Genomic DNA, 21,385 nt, shown 5'->3' on the forward strand with positions numbered 1-21,385 from the left:
GCTGTCCCTGGACCACACTTAGACTTCCTTCCTGACAGTAAGTTTTTCTCTTTTTATGGCAGGTTGATTATATAGAAAGGTTAAACCCAGTGTAGACAACTATTCATGAAGTGTACTTTGATAAGAAAGGTATGCCGTTGACAAAGCTTGCTGTAGTTGTGAAGCATTTGATGTAAGACTATTAACTAAGTGAAAGGCTATGAATTCTTGAAGTTTTATCCTGACTTCCCTTTTATATGAATGTAATGCCTGTATTTTTCAGAAGACTGAAAAGCCTATAATAAGCTGCATTCATCATTGGTAAATAGAGTGCTCATTTTACTTTTTTTTTTTTTTTTTTTTGAGACGGAGTCTCGCTCTGTCACCAGGCTGGAGTGCAGTGGTGCGAACTCGGCTCACTGCAACCTCTGCCTCCCGGGTTCAAGCGATTATCCTGCCTCAGCCTCCTGAGTAGCTGGGATTATAGGCACATGCCACCACGACCAGCTAATTTTTGTATTTTTAGTAGAGATGGGGTTTCACCATGTTAGCCAGGATGGTCTCGATCTCTTGACCTTGTGATCCACCCGCCTCGGCCTCCCAAAGTGCTGGAATTATAGGCATGAGCCACCATGCACAGCCGAGTGCTCATTTTTCTTATGCGACTTTTGACCAATTCAGATTTTGAATGATAAGTGAACGCGAAATAAGGAATCATCCCATTTTTTGAGTCAGTTGGACGTTTACTCACCTCAGGCTTCTGGAAAGATCTTGGTTGTCAAATTAGAGCAGGGACACAAACCGTTTGGTATGATTAATAGTTTGAATAGCAAAAGGGACAGATTTCAATATATATACTTTAACATATTTAAAAATATGTATACCCACACATACATGTATAATTTTTTTCTCCTGAATTCTTATAAAGCTCTGTACCTGAGGAGAGAGAGAGCCTTTCTAGCCTTTTTAAAAGGAGATAGAGGCCAGGTGTGGTGGCTCATGCCTGTAATCCCAGCACTTTAGGAGGTTGAGGTGGACTGCCGACTTGAGATCAGGAGTTCGAGACTAGCGTGGCCAACGTGGTAAAACCCTATCTCAACCTAAAATACAAAAACCAGCCAGGCCTGGTGGTGGATGCCTGCAATCCCAGCTACTCGGGAGGCTGAGGCAGGAGAATCACTTGAACCCAGGAGGCGGAGGTTGCAGTGAGCTGAGACTGCGCCACTGCACTCTAGCCTGGGCGACAGACAGAGCAAGACTCCATCTCAAAATAAATAAACATGTATATAAATATTAATTAATTAAATGAGATAGAAAAAGTCAGTAATACTCTCATGGAAATAGACATATAAAACACATTTTTTAAAATTATAAAATTTTGATATTTATTCATAATTACTCTTACCCTATTCACAAATATAGAAGAGGCATTTACATTTTACTACTGTATGGTCAGTTCTGCTATAAGGAGACATTTGCATTTCTAAAAATCACCATACCATGCAGAATCATTACTAAAGACCCCAGGAAGCTTATGGGAAAAATAGGTTTAGAAGTACAACAATAAAAAGAAATTGTTTAGTGAAACATTAAGAAAAAAAAGAACCTAATAAAAATGATAGAACAGTTGTACATGCATTATGTTATAAAGAAATTCATAAATACTACAATAAATATGGTACTTTGCCTTGAAAAAACTGAAGTATGCTTGTGGAAGTTAATATTGAAAGGGTTGCAGCTTCTGAGTTATTGTAAAATGGTATAGGGAAGGTTGCTGAAGTGGGATATAAAGTTGTAACACCATCTATTAGTAGGTATGGCTTATAACACAAAGGGAACTGAAATAGCTGGAAGATATTTAAGATGTGAGGCCTGTTGGCGCATATTTTAAATATTTCTACTGGGCTTGGTCAGCTAGATGTAGTTTTCTGCCTGCACCTGGTGTTTCTCACAGTGATATTCACGTTATGCTCAAATTGCTTCCAAATACATCAAATGCACAGGAACGAATTTTGGTTTTCTGAACAAGTGGTGTAGCAGAACTGACTGTATATGAAATTTCACGCTTTGTTAGAGACATAGAACAAACCTTTAATTTTACTGCAATTCAGTTCCACAGGCAGTAGGGGGAGTAGTAGGTTCACAAATCGCAGCACCACTGACGAGTGCTTTTCTTAGTTTTGCAGCTATACGTATGGTAAATTATCATTTTATAGTTACAGTTATAAGCAATTTGGTAGAAAAAGACAGCTAAATTGTGCAGTGTTGCTTTTGTTTTCATTTTATAATCTGAATGTATTTTTTAATGAGAAAACAAAATCCAGATTAATTTTTAATAGGAGTAACCCTTTCTGTGGCTTAGTCTTGTGCCACCCACTAGACCTTGCATTTCACTTTTAATTGATCTCTTGTGTATGGTAGAAATTAGCCATCATATAGCTGAGACATTATGTCTGTATACTGGGGAGCGAATGTTTTTAGCTATATTATTGTGACTCTTACTGCTTAATAAAAGGGAGATTTAACAGGTGACTTGATCGACACATATGTTAATTTAAAATTTCTCTACCAATTCATAGAGACAGAACATTCCCAAATTTTATTCCAGGAATCAGCCCTAGAAATGATGCCAAAGCAAATTTAATTCCCTTAGCCTTATTAGAATTTGTTACAGTGTTATGCAGACTGCTCCCTGGGTATAGGAATCAGGGCCCATCAGACATCTTTATGTAAAACACTTGGTGTGCACTGAAGGAGCTAACAATGTACCTGGGCAGAGTGCCTTCCTTGTTTGTTTGGGGCATGTATATTGAAAGGGAATGTCATATATTATAAATAGTACCTAACCCTTGCTATAATGATTGCTGTAATCCAACTTTGTATGCATATTTATTATGAAAGGATAGATTTGCCTTTTATAAAGGAACAAAAATTTTGTTTGTAGTATTTTATTTAAGTGTACAACTACTTTCATTATAGAACCTTTCTTAGCTGATGTGTTGACTTGCTCAGCATTGATACCTGCTGATGCCCAAGTGGTGATCTGTGTGTCTTAAAACACAGTCTGTCATTCTACATGGTTTATATATTTCAGAGCCATTATCTGAACTAGGGGCCAGATAAAGATAAACTGCTTCATCACTGATAATGTTAAGTCCAGTAGTCTTGCAATACCTGTAATCTTTATTTGATTAATATAAATAGATCATATCAGTGTTTTTAACCAGAGTGGGGAGTTATTTAGCATTGTTCATTGCTTTTAAGTTATTTTTGAACAATTTTTGCACAGGTGGTATAGATAGAACTAGAAAACAAGTCATTTGGGTGTTGGAAAACTGAATAATACTGTGATTTAATTGATGCCAGTTGGAGAAAAAGAAGAAATTTTGTTTTGATGGATAACATAGTCCTTAACTTTATTCAGTGTGGTTTCTCTTTTATTATATATAGGTTATCCTAACTTAATTCATTTGTATTATACCATATGCCATTTTGGATTCACTTCAAAGAGTAATCAAATCAGGAACTAATCATGAGATATTATTCTCTGGTAAAGTAAATTTCATGTTTCCTTAAAATGTAACTGGTATGTATTAGCACTTTCCTGTTAAAAAGTGACATCATTTAACACTATTATCATGATGCTGTAAACAGTAGTAGGACGATAAACTTTCTTGGAGCATTAACTCTTGTTATTTAAGTGTAAAAATTCAACATTATGATTTGAAAATACTGAAAATGATTGGAAGAATTGGATGTTTATCAATTGTCTTACCTACACTTCATAAACTATATAGTACCAAATATGTGTGCATACTCTACTGGATAATAATCATGTTTGTAAAATGGGACTGCTGTAGAACCTCATGTCATACTGTTTTTCTTGAATAGCTAAGAAGTAGAAATTTGGGGATCTCCAGCCTCTGTATTGAATTTGAAGCTGTGGTAGAATATAAGGTCATGGGGGCCAGGCGCGGTGGCTCACACCTGTAATCCCAGCACTTTAGGAGGACAAGGCGGGCGGATCACAAGATCAGGAGATCGAGACCATCCTGGCTAACACGGTGAAACCCCATCTCTACTAAAAACACAAAAATATTAGCCAGGCATGGTGGCGGGCGCCTCTGTTCCCAGCTACTCAGGAGGCTGAGGCAGGAGAATGGCGTGAACCCGGGAGGCGGAGCTTGCAGTGAGCTGGGATCACGCCACTGCATTCCAGCCTAGGCAACAGAGTGAGACTCTGTCTCAAAAAAAAAATACAAGGTCATGGGGAAGTAGCACAAACAGAGTAGGTTCTTGGACATTATCTTAGGGAGTATGTCCATTTAATGATGGGTAAAGAAAAGGATATCAGTGAAAGAGATTTAAGGAGCAATCAGTAAGGAAGAAACAGAATGAACCAGTAACTGCGAAACCAGGAGAGGAGATCTGTTGAAGAAGGAAGTGACCAGCAAAGAGGATAAAACCCCAAATCAGGTTGTTACATTTAACAATTAATAGATTAAAGAATACTTGTCAAGAATCCAGTTTAAATAGAGTGAGTGATGGAAAACATATAGGGCCAAAAAGTAAACTGGAACTGAGGAAACAGAGACTGTGAATATAGATTAATTTTTTGAGAACTTTGGTAATAATGAGGAAGAGGGAGAGATGTTGGCAGCTTAAGAAGAAAGCTTTGTTTGAGAAAGGCTTTTCTTAAGATAAACATGAATGCTTATGGACAGTAGCAAAAAGCTTTTGGCTCAGGGATTGTTCTTTTAAATGTTTATGGGCTAACTTATGTAGTATTCATAGTATTAAAATAGTAAAGTAAAACCTAGCCCCTTGATTTTAGTGATATTGTGAAACTTTTGTCTTTGAGTATTTTTGGGCTATTCCTCTATAACATTTCTTGAATGGAGGGTAAAACAAAAAATCTGGTTCTTTACCAGTGTTTCAGAATCATTCTGCTGAACAGTCCACATAAGCTTAATTATATTAAGAACCATTGAAGTAAAGTTGTTCATAAAATTTTTTTTGCCTTAGTCTTTGTGGCATTTGCTGAGTTTAGACAATAACCGCCCCCCCCACGAAGTTACTTAATTTTTCTCTGAGCAGTAATTTACATGTGTGATCAATAGCCTCAGTCATTTTCAAAGAGACAAGTAATGAAATATTCCTACTACTTTTAAAATTTTAACCTTAAGATGATAACTGTGATTCCATTGTATAAGAACTCTCCTTTTTCACTTCAGTTAATACAGTTTTATTGAATGTGTTTGATTTTCACTTAGAATTATTAATACTGGGTGATATTTTCATACTACATTACAGAGTACTTGCAACTCTGGTGAGAATGCTGTTCCCCAAGGCCATAGCTAATGGTCTAGCAATGTTAAACTGAATTTAGAAATGATACTGTAAACTTATGCTTAAAAGTGTGGGTGGGTGATATAGAAGATGAGTATCTTTTTGGAAATAGAAGAGAGAGGGTGTGGTTGTTTCCTTCTCATGGACTCTTCCCCCAGTATAAATTCTTAAGCACTACAGGTAGTATTTGCTAATTGTTATTACATGTTGAATATCCTGTATCCAAAATTCTTGAGGCCAGAAGTGTTTCAGATTTTGGATTTTTTTAGATCTTGCGGTATTTGCAATATACTTACCAGTTGAACATCCCTAATCCGGAAATCCAAAATGCTGCAATGAGCATTTCTTCTGGACATTATGTTCATGCCCAAAACATTTCAGAGTTTGGAGTATTTCTAATTTTGGATTTCAGATTAGGGATATTCAACCTATACTTCAGTAGTTAGCCAAAATAGAAATGTTACACTGCCCTAAAAATTCAGAATGCTGCTTCCTTTTAAAGAAGAAAGTGGATTATTTTACATCTCTTATTTTACTTTCTATATGCTTCCTTCCAAAACAAAAACAGTTGACCAAAACAGATAAAATAAACACAGAAAGACATACCAAGAATGACTTAAAGGGAGGAAGCAAAGGAGTCCAATAATGTATTACATTTCAACATAAAGGAGAAGGATGGGCCTCCTCTCACTGGTGTGAAAGAGGGTTCTTAGAGATGATTGATACGCATACCGTAAGTATGTTCCCTGGACCAGCAACATCAGCATTACTCAGAAGCTTGTTAGACCCTACCTCAGATCTACTGGATCAGAATTTGCTTTCCAACAAGACCCACAGGTAATTCTTTTGTACATTACATTTTAAGGAATGCTGCTCTAGTGGTTCTAAGACTTTATTCTAAATCTCAGCTCACTGCTAGGTTATCCTTGGATAAGTTATTAACCATTCTGTGCTGCAGATTTATTTGTAAAATGAGATTAATAATAGTACATAATGGGTTTTTTCTTTTAATAAGAATTAAATATAATCTCTTTAAATTAAATATAATGTTAGTCCCTCACCTTCAAGTAGAGGTTATACTGAGCTATTCAAAGATACTGTGGTTCAGGCATCCGTTCCTGGTGATAGGTGCTTAATTGTGAAATAGGTGATGATAGTATCTTATTCTTAAAAGAGAACTCTGATGAAATCTCTGAAGAAGGGAGAGATGACAAGCATAAAAATGATAGCACTGGAAGATGAAATACTGTATATGAGGAACACTTGATGTCACTGGATTGCTTCGTGTGGGAGAAAGAAGATTGAGGGACCACTTAAACTCGGTTTACATTTCCACTAAGAAATGAATTGTTAGGCTCCTGTAATCCCAGCTACTCGGGAGGCTGAAGCAGGAGAATCGCTTGAACTTGGGAGGTGGAGGTTGCAGTGAGCCGAGATCACGCCACTGCACTCCAGCCTGGGCGACAGAGCAAGACTCCGTCTCCTAAAAAAACCAGAAATGAATTGTATTACATGGTAAGATAAAATAGTTCAAGGAGACAAATATAGGAATGTTGATAAAAAGAGTCAAACTCTGTAAAACATTTAAGGAGGCTTATTATGTGCCAAATATGGGTGACCAAGGCCTGTGACACAGCCCCAGGATGTCCTGAGAACCTGTGCCCAATGTGATTGGGTGACAGCTTGATTTTATACATTTTAGGGGGACAAGTTACTGGCAGACATAAATCAATACATGTAAAGTGTACATTGATTCAGTCTGGAAAGGTGGGACAACTCGGGCTTTTAGGTCATAGGTGGATTCACGGATTTTCTGATTGGGAGTTGGTCAAAAGAGTTAAGTTATTATCTAAAGACCAGGAATCAATAGAAAGGAGTGTCTGGGTAAAGATAAGGGGTTGTGGAGACCAAGGTTTTTTGCAGGTTTTTATTATGCCTCATAGGTGGCCACCCTTAGAGGCAATTGATGGCAAGTGTTTTCTGTTCAAATGTTTCAAAGGTGCTAGACTGGCAGCTAATCTCTTCAGGAACAGAAGAACTGGAAAGGGAGGAGGATTCTCAACATAATGTAGATTTTCCCCACAAGAGATAGCTTTGCAGGACCATTTCAAAATATGTCAAAGAAATATATTTTGGGGTAAAACACTTTGATTTTTTTCAGGGCCTGGTATCTATCATATACTTGACTCTATACTAGAGTCAGGTTGGAATTTGATATCTCATTGCTGCAGAGAGACTGCTTTGCCAGTCTTAAGATCTCTGTTTTAATGTTAATGTTGGTCAATTGTGCCTGAATTCCAAAGGGATGAGGGTATAATGAGGCGTGTTTGACCTCCCCTTCCCATCATGGCCTGAACTTGTTTTTCAGGTTTACTTTGGAATGCCCTCGGCCAAGAGCGGCCTTCATTCAGTCAGTTGAGGGGCTTAGAGTTTTATTTTTGCAGGAGTATGAAGAAAGAGAGGTATCATGTGTATTGAAATGGATAGCTCATGAAATGTTTTCATTTAATGGTAAGAACAAATCTCTTCTGTTTGAAGATCGGAAGTAGAATGACATGACTTTTTGTTTGTTTGTCTTTTGTTTTTTTTTTTTTTTTTTTGAGACAGAGTCTTACTCTGTCTCCAGGCTGGAGTGCTGTGGTGCGATCTCGGCTCACTGCAACCTCCAACTTCTTGGTTCAAGTGATTCTCCTGCCTCAGCCTCCTGAGTAGCTGGGATTACAGGCATGCGCCACCACGCCTGGCTAATTTTTGTATTTTTAGTAGAGATGGAGTTTCACCATGTTGTCCAGGATGGTCTCAATCTCCTGACCTCGTGATCCTCCCACCTCGGCCTCCAAAAGTGCTGGGATTACAGGCATTAGCCACCACGCCTTTTTTTTTTTTTTTGAGACAGTCTCACTCTGTTGCCCAGGCTGGAGTAAAATGGCACGATCTCAGCTCACCGCAACCTCTACCTCCTGGGTTCAAGCGATTCTCCTGCCTCAGCCTCTTGAGTAGCTCAGATTACAGGCATGCGCCACCACGCCCAGCTAATTTTGTATTTTTAGTAGAGACGGGGTTTCTCCATGTTGGTCAGGCTGGTCTTGAACTTCCAACCTCTGGTGATCCGCCCGCCTCGGCCTCCCAGAGTGCTGGGATTACAGGCGTAAGCCACTGCGACATGACTTTTTTTAAAGAGCTTTCAGTCTGTTTCTCGTGTTTGGAGCTGGTAGTTTTCAGCCTGATATGTTTCACTATGCTTCACAAAGCATTATTCACACAACTTCACTGATCAGCCTTTTGGGGTCTGGAGAGCTTAGTGTGCAGACCATTTTCCATAGTCTATATTGTCAGGAATTTTCCCTTTTTGAAATTGGAAGTTTTTAAGTGTTAATTATTGTTGTGCAGTTCACTTGATAAGGAAGCTTCTTGGGGGAGAGGTATGATGGCAGCTTTTTTTCTTCTACAGTTCTAAGGTAGTTCTTGTAACCCATGAAAGGCTGAATTGCTTTAAAGCAGCCTTTCCAAAAGGGTAAAATATTTCTCCTTCGGGTCCAGCTGAAACATAGAACTTTTAAACAAAAAATAAATTTTTAAGCAAGTTAGAAGCAAGAGAAAATGCATGGTTTTTAATAGAAATGTTTTCTCAACCTTTAATGTCTACAGTGAATGCTGAAAATTTATATTTTCTTATTTTGTGAAAAGGAAACTATAAAAACATGAAATCAAAGTTCTGGTCCATCTGGCACATTGATAGCCTGCTTTTTAGGGTGTCTGGATTTAAACATTTAAATAAGTGTCCTTACCTTTAAAGTTGGAGAAATAAACCTTGGGTCTCCATTGTGTAGGTAGTTTCTAAAATCCATAGGGTCTAATGACCTGAGAAAAAGACAGAATGTAAAGCACCTCAATTTCAAGTCTGTTTCTACCCAGCTCCCCCCCCCCCACCCCCCGATCTTGATTTGCAATTCTGCAAGAAATAAGGTAGGGACTTAGATAACTCTAAAGGAGCTAGTTAAATACTCTAATTAGCTATCTTTCCGTGGCTCATGTTTTTGTTCAGGTGATCAAACAGAATGAATTACAGTCTAGAAGAGTCTGAGTGGGTCACTTGAGTCTTGTTTCCATCTTTAAGTGTCCAGAGCATTGAGTTTTCCACTGTTTTGTGCTTTATTACCCTCCCCCAATGGATTACTGTCATCAGGAAATTGAAAAATAACATGTTCATACACCGAATTTGCCATAAATTTTTCTTTTAGTTAAATGGAAGATTTCAGACTTGTATCAGTGGCTTGTGCTCTTGCACAGATCACAGCTTCATAAACAGGTGTAAATATTTATGTGAAATTCTTACCTAGCCCTGTGAACCACTTGATCTTGGAATCACTTTTTCTTTTTACAAACAATCCATTTTCAGTTGCATATATTATCAATGAGTCCTAAACTAGATATATAATTTAGACCTCAATTTTTATATCAGAAAATGTGTACTCTTTTTTTCAAAAGGGAGAAAAGAAAATGATTGTAAGGTGAGGAATTTGACGTGGTCAGAAACCATATTTAAGATGAGAAAATCTTGCTAGGTTAGAAAACATTTTAGTTTTTAATGAGTCAATATTTTAAGCATCTTCTTGGCTGGTTTAAAGGCCACATTGTCTATTTATGGTTTGTTTCCATTCCAAACTCAAAACCAACGTGAAAATTCAATAGGAGCTCCTTTACTTTTATTTCTATACTCATTCCTCTAACATTTTTAAAGTGCCTGCTGTGTGCTGAAGAGATACCAAGATTAGTACACTACGATTTCCAGGAAAACACAGTCTGCTTCAGGTGATAGTAATATAGTCAAATAATTTTAACTTTATGGTATTTACTATGATAAAGGTGCTTAACTCTGCCTGGGAGGTCAGTGAAAGCTTGGAGGAAGAGGTGACATAAAAATTAAGTTTTAATGGACAAGTAGGAATCTAGGATTAAGGGCGGGCAAAACATTCTAGGCAGAACGTTATGCCTAGAATGATATGCTATCTTAATATATGGCTTGTAGGCATTCAGAGTAAAGGAAGTACCTGCCATAGTGAAAATATTTGGGTTCAGTATTTCCCCCAAAGTCTGTGAGTAATGGATTGCTTTACAGTTGGAGCCAGATGGCCTTACCTCAGATTCTTACCCGAGGATGATCCTGAATAAAACATCTCTCTTTTGTAAAGCTTCTCTCCCTGACAAGAAAATAGCCTAACTGTTCATCTACCAAAACAGTCGGGGGAGATGATGGACAACCAAGTAATGTCAAACTGATGTTTTGCAAGGGTCACCAATGGCTTCTCAACTCAGTCTTTAACTGGGGTGGCTGCTTTTCAGCACTGGACACAGTCGACTTCATCTTTTTATTTATCTTTGTTATTTATCTTTTTTCTCTGCCTGTCCTTTACTTGTTGTTACATTGGCCTCCTTCTCGTCTCACAGTTGGAACATTCCTTTCTCTAAGAGGCTTTCCCTGGCTCCTTGACTATTTGGGTCCTTTTAGAAAGTGTTCCTACAGCACTACATAATGTTCTTGTCATTACTCTTCATTTGTTTTTCTTTGTGTTTGATTACCTGCCATTCTTTCTCCCTAAAGGAGATAGTGTTAGTCTTGTTCATTATTGTATGTCTGGCATCTCATTCAGTCTCAGATGTTACTGTACTCATTATATTTATTATTCAATAAATATTTATTGAGCACTTATGTAGGCTAAGGAATTCAGTAGTAAACAAAACAAAAATTCCTGCCCTTACAGACTTATTTGTTGAATGAATGAATGAGTGAATTAATGAACAAACAAAACCTGTACACTCCCTGGACAATTTTACCCACTCTCATGTCTTCAGCCACCACATATAAAGTGATTAACTCCCAAATGTCTATTTCTACTCAGACTTCTTTTCTGAATTTCACGCCCAGGGATCCAAGTGTCCCCTCTTCGCTATCTCCACTAAACTCTCCCAAGCATCTTTAACTCTGTGTTCTAAAGCTGCACTCTCCCCAGATCTTTTCTTTATTCTGCATTCTCTGTCTTATAAATGGAATCACACATCTGCTCATACATCTTGTCACCCAGTTCATAAGCTGACATTGCCTTAAATGTCCCTTTTTAACCCCTTATCCCTATTTTCTACCATTATTACTCCGGCTCATGCCCCTCTCATCTCTTGCTTAGACTTCTATAGTGATTTTCTAATTGGTTGCTTTTATTCTAGTCTTAAGCCCTCTCATCCATCCTTTACTCTCCTACCAGAGGTATCTTTATGAAATGCAAATTAGCTGTAAGTCATCAGTGACTTAAATAGAGATAAAATCTAAACAACTTAGGGTAACATTTGAGATCTAGCCCCTGTTGATCTCTGTAGCCTCTTCACTCATTCTGTCCCACTCAGGACCAGTTAACCATCCATGCCATGCTTCTTGCAGTTCTCTTAATGTACATATTGATCATTTTTTTCTTTCCTTTGATCCTGGTGATTTCTCAGCCAGGGGTACTGCACAGCCTACCTACCTGGTACATCTATATACTTCTTTTCCAAAATTTGTTTTCAATGTCACATGTTCTCTGGAGCCTTTCCTAACTTCCCTCCAGTGTGGTCAAAGTGAACTACTCACCCCACCTTTTTAAAATCTCCATTGTACTCTAGTGTATAAATGTTTCTCCTGGAACATGTTATCCTTATTTGTTTAAATCTCTCCCTCTCTCTAAGCCTTGATGTCTTTTTTTTTTAAAAAATGTATTGAATATATACTTTGTGCCCTGCACTATGCTAAGTGTTCTTCATTTATTTATATCATTTACATTTGCAGTTGCCCTGTGAGGTGAGGTAGATATTATCCCCAGATGAAGATGTCAGAGAAGTTAACTGCCCTAAGTTATATCATTACTAAGTACCAGAGTTACGATTTGAGCCAAGAATGTTGGACTGACACCTAAGTCTATGCGTTTACTGAATCCACAGTACTGCCTTTGTACGTCTTATGCCTGTTACATTGTATTCAGAAAACATTTGTTAAATGACTGGAAGAAAGCTTGGCGGGTCTTTTTTGCATGGCCTTTTCGCTGTCTTGTGTGTGCCTCTCCCTGGCTCCAAGGACAGTTCTGGTTAGTATATGATCAGATCATAGTAACAGTTTGTCACCTGACTTACTGACCAAGGACTCGTGATTGTAGAGAACTCTTAGGAGGCTGACCTGATGCTCAAGTTTCTGCTTCTCACATGATAATTTGTGGTAGAGGTAGGAAGACAAGAAGAGACTGAGTAATAGTAGAAAGAGAGAAACACAAAAAAAGCAAACAACAAAAACCAAAACCAAAAAAAAAAAAGTTTTCCTGCAATGTTTTATTATGATAACTTTCAAATATATAGAGAGTTGACAATATGGCATTGAAACACTGTGTACCTTCTACCTAGATTTCAGTGGTTGGCATTGCCTATATCTGCTTTGCCCCCTCTCGTGTGTGTGTATTTTTAATACATATATCATAAATATAAATATTTAATATGCATATATAATTGTATATAAACATAATTATTAAATTATTATATTTATAATATATAGTGTAATATTTAATAATATATGCTATATAAATAAATATATTTATATTTATTATATACAAATATTTATATTATATAAAAATACACACCAGAGGGGGCAAAGCAGATATAGCCAATGCCAACAACTATAGATAGATAGATAGATAGATAGATAGATAGATAGATAGATAGATAGAGATAGATAGATATATAAATGTATATAGATCTGTATAAATATAGAAATATATACATATGTAATAGAAATTTATATAAATTGTAAATTTACTTACAGATATAAAATTTTATAAAAATTTATTTGCTTATTTTTCTGAGTGTCACGGGAAATGCCACTTGTCTCTGATACCTGGGATGGTTGGACTTGTGCTTAGTAATCTTGATCTAATACAGAACTAAATGAAGTGGCAAGTGTCACTCCTAGCTACCTCAGACTTGTCTCATAAGAATGAGAAGATTTTATTTTATAAACCAACTTATGGTAACTGATAAAATTAGTAGTAATTCCATAATATTAATTCTAATTGAGTCCATATTCTAATTTTTCTAGTTGTCCCAATAATGTCTTTTCTATTTTTCTCCCTGAACAAGGATTCAGTTGTGCTTCATGGGTTGCATTTGGTTGTGTCTTTGGTCTCTTAATCTAAAATAGGCCTCCTACCCCAAACCTTTTCCCCTATGACACTGACCTTCTGAAGAGTTCAGGCCAAGTGCTTTGCAAAATCTCCCATATATTGAATTTGTCTGATTGTTTCTTTTTTTTTTTTTTTTTTGAGACGGAGTCTCGCTCTGTCGCCCAGGCCGGACTGCGGACTGCAGTGGCGCAATCTCGGCTCACTGCAAGCTCTGCTTCCCGGGTTCACGCCATTCTCCTGCCTCAGTCTCCCGAGTAGCTGGGACTACAGGCGCCTGCCACCGCGCCCGGCTAATTTTTTGTATTTTTAGTAGAGACGGGGTTTCACCTTGTTAGCCAGGATGGTCTCGATCTCCTGACCTCGTGATCCACCCGCCTCGGCCTCCCAAGTCTGATTGTTTCTTACAGCATCATTTAATTTATTCCTTTATTCCTTCTAAATTCTGTGAAGTGGAAGTTAGATTTACAAATTTGATTAGGTTCAGATTAAAACATAAGCGATGATGCCTATTTCATGCAATTGGACATACATAATTTCTGTTTTTCTATTTATTAGAGATCCTGAATTAATTTACTTTTGAGTATTGACCACCAGATTGTACCATTGAAAGATGCATTTTCTTCTTTGCTGTAAGTAATTATGACACCTTAGGAATATCTAACTCATTAACATTTCACCTAATGGTTTTAGTATCCTTTAATGATCTTTGCCTGAATTAGTTATTACATTGGGCGTTCTAAAATGGTGATTTAAAATTTTGACCATTTGTTCTAAGTAATTAGTTTGCTTTCTTCTGTAAAGAAAGACTTCACTTTTTTTTTTTTTTTTTTCTTTTTGAGACGGAGTTTTGGTCTTGTTGCCCAGGCTGGAGTGCAGTGTTGCGATCTCAACTCACTGCAACTTCCACCTCCTGGGTTCAAGCAATTGTCTTGCGACAGCCTCCTGAGTAGCTGGGATTACAGGCGCCCACCACCATGCCTGGCTAATTTTTTGTATTTTTAGTGGAGATGGCATTTCACCATGCCTGGGCAGGCTGGTCTCAAACTCCTGACCTCAGGTGATCTGTCCGCCTTGGCCTCCCAAAGTGCTGGGATTACAGGTGTGACTTGGCTTTTTTATCCATCCTTTCTTCTCCTTTTGCAGCATTACCATGAAGTTGTGGATTTTTATTTATTCAGTTTTCTATTAATTAGAGTAATTATTTATTTCAGTGCTCAAATTTTCCCAAATGTGGTTAATAGGCATCCCCTTAAGGCTATCTCCTATTTTTTTTTTTTGAGATGGAGTTTCTCATCACCCAGGCTAGAGTGCAATGGCATGATCTCAGCTCGGTGCAACCTCCGCTTCCCGGGTTCAAGTGATTCTCCTGCCTCAGCCTACCAAGTAGCTGGGATTACAGGCACCACCACACCCGGCTAATTTTCCTGGTTTTTCTTTTCTTTTTTTTTTTTTTTTTGATGGAGTCTCACTCTGTTGCCAGGCTGGAGTGCAGTGAGTGATCTCGGCTCACTGCAACCTCCATCTCCTGGGTTCAAGCGATTCTCCTGCCTCAGCCTCCCGAGTAGCTGGGATGACAGGTGCCTGCCACCACAGCCAGCTAATTTTTGTATTTTTAGTAGAGATGGGGTTTCACCATGTTGGCCAGGGTGGTGTCAATCTCTTGACCTGGTGATCTGTCCACCTCGGCCTCCCAAAGTGCTGGGATTATAGGCGTGAGCCACCGCACCTGGCTGCTATCTCCTACTCTTGTGACAAGCCCCGATCTATTTGTCTTTGAACACTTTCTTGCATTTTACAGCACAACAAGATGTTTCAAGTTTACTTTATACTTTCTCTACCCCAAAATGGGGTTCAGCCATTTTTCCAAGGAATCTTGGCTCCAAAAAAGGAGAATCTTTTTTTTTTTTAATTTAATGATTTACCTTTTGTCTTTTCACAGGGGCCTCTCTACATTTAGTTCTGTATTAGGTCAAGATTACTAAGTGCCAGTCCAAGCATCCCAGGTGTCAGAGACAAGGGTGAGGTGAAGTGGTGGGGGTGAACTCTGATAGGCCAGGGGAATTATTTCAGTTAAAATAATCTTTCCTTACTTTGGCAGCCTCTTAGTAGTATATCCTATCTCCGGCCCTTCCACTCTCCACCTGTGATTTGTCTCTCACACAGTTTTTATTCTTTCACTCATCCCCTTATTCATTCTGCTCTTATCTTTACTTTTACTTATCTATCTAATGCATTTTAGTGTTAAGATTTTAAGCTTTACTACATGATTATTTTCCACAACCATTTCAGCTAATTAATGTGATAGTTAGGTTTTGATGTAATCTTGCTTAATACTAATTTATATTTATTTATTTGTGCTACCTCATGAAGACTTATTTCTTTGAAAAGGTTGCAATGACTGCTCTGTCTTCCACTTCTTAAAAGGTGGTTAGGCAGACTACAGTGTCTAAATTTGTGTCATGGTTTGGTGTACACTTTCCCTTAAGTTTGGTTTTCAACATCTATTTCATTCTTTTCTGTCATTCGGCCAGGATTGAGTTAAATATATGTTCTTTTTCATTGTACCCCCCAAATCATTGAGAAGGACGTTTTGTCCGCATTTTCCTAACATAAATCTTTCTCTCCAGATGGAAGATTGAAGTCTCATTGTGCTAAGGAGGAAGGAAGTGGGGGGGGGGTGCATTTAGAAATCTGCTATATCAAGAAAGACATTAAAAATTGATAAAGGTAGGACTACCTGTTTTTATATTCTCCCACATAGCATGTGTTTAAATGAATTTGCCTATAATTTGTTTCAAACGCTGACATTTTACTCCTAAGCTATATAATTGTGCTTGATTTTTCCAGAGTAAAATTCGTATTCTGTGACCAGACTAATATGTTCACCTACTATAAAAATTACTGCCTGTGGTAACAGCGAGAATAAAAATCTCCTTTGTGTACATAATAGCTGGCAGAGACTCCTGGGACCACCACAAATCATTCCCATCTTTTAGAGCTTGCTTTCCATGGAAATGTAAAACCAGCCTAGTCCAATGTACCTTGACTCTGAAAACCTATTTAGACTACCATTTATACTATTGTTGTTATTTAAGATGCCAAGTATTCAACAAGCTCTCCTAATTATTGTATTCTCTAAGCTTAGTAACCTGTCCTTTCCCTGTGAACCAGCTCCTCTTCTATCATCTACCTCTGGCTCCTTTTTTGTTAAAGGTTAATAATGAGAATAATGGAGCAATTGGTTATTTATGCAGTCATGATTGGCAAAAGTTATTAGAGCAAGAATCTGCCCCGAAGCAATGATTAGGTTATGAAAATGTTAAGGAATACTGAAACCAGACACCATTTTGACATTTAAAAACTAATATTTCGACCCTTAATCGTGATGACCTATTGTAAAAGTATGTATACAGAATAAATCCCATTGGATAGTAATTTTTATACCAACAGCATACATAAGTAAGTGTTAAGGGGAGATTTGAAAATGTACTGAAGGGAAAAAGAGCCTGGGGAGGAAATTACCATAATGAGAAATAAGGAACAGAGCTCTCTCTTGGGTAGGACTATTTGTCTCCCAGGCACTGGTCTGCAAAGTTAGCTGACATTTTCCAATTTAGTATTTTCATCTTGAACAACTGGCAATTTTTAGGAGTTGTGAGAGAGGGTACCCCAGGTTAAATTGCCATGTTCTTTGTACCAAATTATAAAATTATAAAACAAGTAGGGAGGTATGTGTTCAGAAAATTTCCTGGTGATGGTTTTATTAATGAAATATTGACTTAACTGAAAAACTTAACAAAAAAACATCAAATTATACTCTCTTTATGTTTAATATAGTTAGGAACTTTCTGTGTAAATTGGCAGTACTCTTACCAGAACAGTGTTATTACTTGTACCCCATACTGATTTTTTAAAATAATAACTTTATTGTGTGTAATTCATGTAAAATAAAATTCACCCTTTTGAACTATATAATTAAATGGTTTTGAGTATATTCCAAAAATGTGCAAACACCACTACTTTGTAATTCCTGAACATGTTTATTACCTTTCCCCCAAAATTCATACCTGTTTGCAGTTACTCTCCATTTCTTCTCCCCTAACCCTTAGCAACCACTAATCTATTTCTGTCTGTATATATTTGCCTGTTCTGAACATTTTATACAAATGAAATCATGCAATATATGGCCTTTTGTGTCTGGCTTCTTTTACTTAGCATAATATTTTCAAGGTTCATCCATGTTGTAGCAGGTAGCAGTACTTCATTGCTTTTGGTGGCTGAATAATATTCCATTTATAAATATTCCACATTTTGTTTCTTTATCAGTGGACATTGACATTGTTTTTACTTTTCTACTATTAGGAATAATGCCATGTTGAATATGTATATACAAGTTTTTGTGTGTACATATGTTTTTTAAAAAGTTTTCTTTGCTTATATATTTAATATTCTTCAGGACATATTTTCACTTCTCTTGAGTATATACCTAGGAGTAGAATTGCTGGGTCATATGTCAAAATAATTCTCTAACATTGTGAAACAGCTAACTTATTTTCCAAAGTGGCAGCACAGTCTTATGTTCCCATTAGTTACGTAGGAGGGTTCCAGTTTCTTCATATCCTTGTCAGTGCTTGTTTGTCTTTTTGGATATGGTCATCTTAGTTGATGCAAAATGTTATCTCAGTGTGTTTTTTATTTACATTTCCCTAATGGCTATGTTGAGTATCTCTTCTTATGCTTCTTGGCCATTTGCATATTTTGTTTTGGGAAATGTATATTCAAAGCCTTTGCCCACTTTTAAATTGTACTAATTATCTTTTTATTGTTTAGTTGTACAAGTTGTATATATTCTGGACACAAATTCTTTACCATGTCATTTCCAAATATTTTCTCTCATTCAGGGGGTTGTTTTTTCAAATTTAAAATAATGCCTTTTGAAACACAATCATTTTACATTTCGAAGTCTAATTTGTCTATTTTTTTTTTTATTTGGTTACTTGTACTTTTAAGTGATCATCGCCTAATCCAAGGTCACAAAGATGTACTTTTATATTTTCTGCTAAGAGTTTTATAGTTTTAACTCTTACGTTTAGATCAATGATGCATTTTCAGCTTGTTTTGTTTTTTTAATATGGTGTGAGGTAGGGGTTCCTTTGCATGTATCTGCATTTGTTTTTATTCAAATTTAAAGAATCGAGGAATAAATTTATTTTCAAATGGGATGTTCATTGTTACTCTCTTTGTGAAGTATTGTTTTATGATTTTCGGGGAGAAATACATGTAACTTTTATCTGAAGACTTTATACTTATGACTCTCGCCAAATATGATTGCATTTCTGGTTCTGTTTTGTTTATTGGAATATGAAAAGCAGCATTGATGGATGCAGTTTGAATCAATTTTTCAGTTTTTTTCCCTTAATTTGCAATCTCACCTCTTCAGCTACAGTATAGAGAATGCCAAGAACTTCTAAGCCTGTATCAGAAATATTTATCAGAACAACAGGAGAAGCTCACCATGTCTCTCTCAGAACTTGGTGCTGCTAGAATGCAGGAACAGCAGGTAAGCATCTTTAATTTTACTTTTCTTGTCTTCAGTGGATCAGCAAGATGTCAGAAGAGCCATTTGTTTTTTATCTTAATTTCCTCCCAGTATATAATATTGTTTTAAAACATGTAGCCACTGCGTGTGATTGAGTTGATGTCTTTCCCTCCCCCTTTCCTTTCTCCTCCTGTTCCTGGACCCAAAGGTAAGGAATGATTACTTGAAGCAGTCTGTGTGGGTCAGTGGGGAAGCTTCTGGTTGTATGAAAGCACAGCCAGAAGGGTAAAGAAAACACTGCTCTGTTACTTAATGAAGATCAGGTGGGCTGTTTGTTACTCATTGTCCTTATGGAAATCACAAATAAGCCTTTCTTAATTCATGTTTATTTTTTAGAATAATGAAAGTTAATTGTGGACTTATAAAAACTTTAATTGGAGAATATTAGGATATTTTGCATATGCTTGCATACATATATTAATCACATAAGTATGTAGGAGAGTATTTATATAAGCGTTTGTACACTTATCACCAAATGGTATGTATTATATACTTAAATGAATGCTCAGAACCCTGCCAGATGTGATGTGAAATAAGCCCTAAAGACCCACTTCTGGTTGGGGGATTTCCGTTTCCTAGCCAAGGGAAGCCATTACAGACTGTATCTGGAAAAACAGGACACTTCCACCCAAATACTGGGCTTTTCCCACAGTCTTAGCAACCAGCAGACCAGGGGATTCTCTCCTGTGTCTGGCTGGGTGGGTGTCATGCCCACGGAGCCTTGCTCACTGCTAACGCAGCAGTCTGAGATCAACCTATGAGGCTGCAGCCCGGCAGGGGGAGGGGCGTCGACCATTGCTGAGGCTTCAGTAGGTAAACAGTGGCCGGGAAGCTCGAACTGGATGGAGCCCACCGCAGCTCAGCAAGGCCTACTGCCTCTACAGATTCCACCTCTGTGGGCAGGGCATTGCTGAACAAAAGGCAGCAGAAACTTCTGCAGGCTTAAACATCCCTGTCTGACAGCTCTGAAGAGAGCAGTGGTTCTCCCAGCATGGCGTTTGAGCTCTGAGAATGGACAGACTGCCTCCTCAAGTGGATCCCTGACCACTGTGTAGCCTGACTGGGAGACACCTCACAGTAGAGGCCAACAGACACCTCATACAGGCAGGTGCCCCTCTGGGACGAAGCTTCCAGAGGAAGGATCAGGCACCAATATTTGCTGTTCTGCAGCCTCTGCTGGTGATACCCAGGCAAACAGGGTCTGGAGTGGACTTCCAGCAAACACCAACAGACCTGCAGCTGAGAGACCTGACTGTTAGAAGGAAAACTAACAAACAGAAAGGAATATCATCAACATCAACAAAAAGGACATCCACACCAAAACCCCATCTGTAGGTCACCAACATCAAAGACCAAAGGTAGATAAAACCACAAAGGTGGGGAGAAACCAAAGCAGAGAAGCTGAAAATTCTAAAAACCAGAGCTCCTCTTCTCCTCCAAAGGATCGCAACTCCTCGCCAGCAATGGAACAAAGCTGGCTGGAGAATGACTTTGATGAGTTGACAGAAGTGGGTTTCAGAAGGTTGATAATAACACACTTCTCTGAGCTAAAGGAGCATGTTCTAACCCATTGCAAGGAAGCTAAAAACCTTGAAAAAAGTTAGATGAATGGCTAACTAGAATAAACACGGTAGAGAAGAACTTAAATGACCTGATGGAGCTGAAAACCATGGCACAAGAACCTTGTGATGTGTGCACAAGCTTCAATAGCTGATTCAATCAAGTGGAAGAAAGGATATCAGTGATTGAAGATCAACTTAATGAAATAAAGTGAGAAGACAAGCTTAGAGAAAAAAAAGTAAAAACAAACGAGCAAAGCCTCCAGCAAATATGGGAATATGTGAAAAGACCAAATCTACATTTGGTTGGTGTACCTGAAAGTGTCAGGGAGAATGGAACCAAGCTGGAAAACACTCTTCAGGATATTATCCAGGAGAACTTCCCCAACCAAGCAAGGCAGGCCAACATTCAAATTCAGGAAATACAGAGAACACCACAAAGATACTCCTCAAGAAGAGCAACCCCAAGACACGTAATTGTCAGATTCGCCAAGGATGAAATGAAGGAAAAAATGTTAAGGGCAGCCAGAGAGAAAGGTCGGGTTACCCACAAAGGGAAGCTCATCAGACTAACAGTGGATCCCTCAGCAGAAACCCTACAAGCCAGAAGAGAGTGGGGGCCAATCTTCAACATTCTTAAAGAAAAGAATTTTCAACCCAGAATTTCATATCCAGCCAAACTAAGCTTCATAAGTGAAGGGAAA

At 37.8% G+C, this 21,385-nt stretch overlaps 1 protein-coding gene across 24 annotated transcripts in view, besides 1 other annotated feature; it reads left to right on the forward strand.

Moving 5' to 3' along the window:
• Window positions 1–21,385, forward strand: part of KIAA1328 — a 403,046-nt gene that overhangs the window by 111,226 nt on the left and 270,435 nt on the right. For 17 of the 24 annotated variants that reach the window (NR_136303.3, NR_136304.2, NR_136305.2 and 14 more), the window contains one exon: window positions 18,956–19,083. Coding sequence is in view for 20 of the 24 variants with exons in the window: in XM_047437678.1 (XP_047293634.1) it covers window positions 18,956–19,083 (128 nt within the window). In the remaining 4 variants the exon portion in view is untranslated. Of the gene's footprint in view, window positions 1–546; window positions 6,166–14,078; window positions 16,251–18,955; window positions 19,084–21,385 lie in introns of those variants that run through there. The other 7 variants (XM_017025879.2, XM_017025881.2, XM_047437682.1 and 4 more) reach the window with 7 other exon arrangements.
• Window positions 7,575–8,209: an enhancer, noted in NCBI's record as "OCT4-NANOG-H3K27ac-H3K4me1 hESC enhancer chr18:34527890-34528524 (GRCh37/hg19 assembly coordinates)". NCBI's record gives its function as "activates a minimal SCP1, AML or CMV promoter by ChIP-STARR-seq in naive H9 embryonic stem cells {active_cell/tissue: H9 hESC(naive)}" and the evidence as "EXISTENCE:reporter gene assay evidence [ECO:0000049][PMID:30033119]".

This window comes from Homo sapiens, chromosome 18 (genome assembly GCF_000001405.40).
Source record: "Homo sapiens chromosome 18, GRCh38.p14 Primary Assembly".
In the NCBI taxonomy this organism is placed as follows: Eukaryota; Metazoa; Chordata; class Mammalia; order Primates; family Hominidae; genus Homo; species Homo sapiens.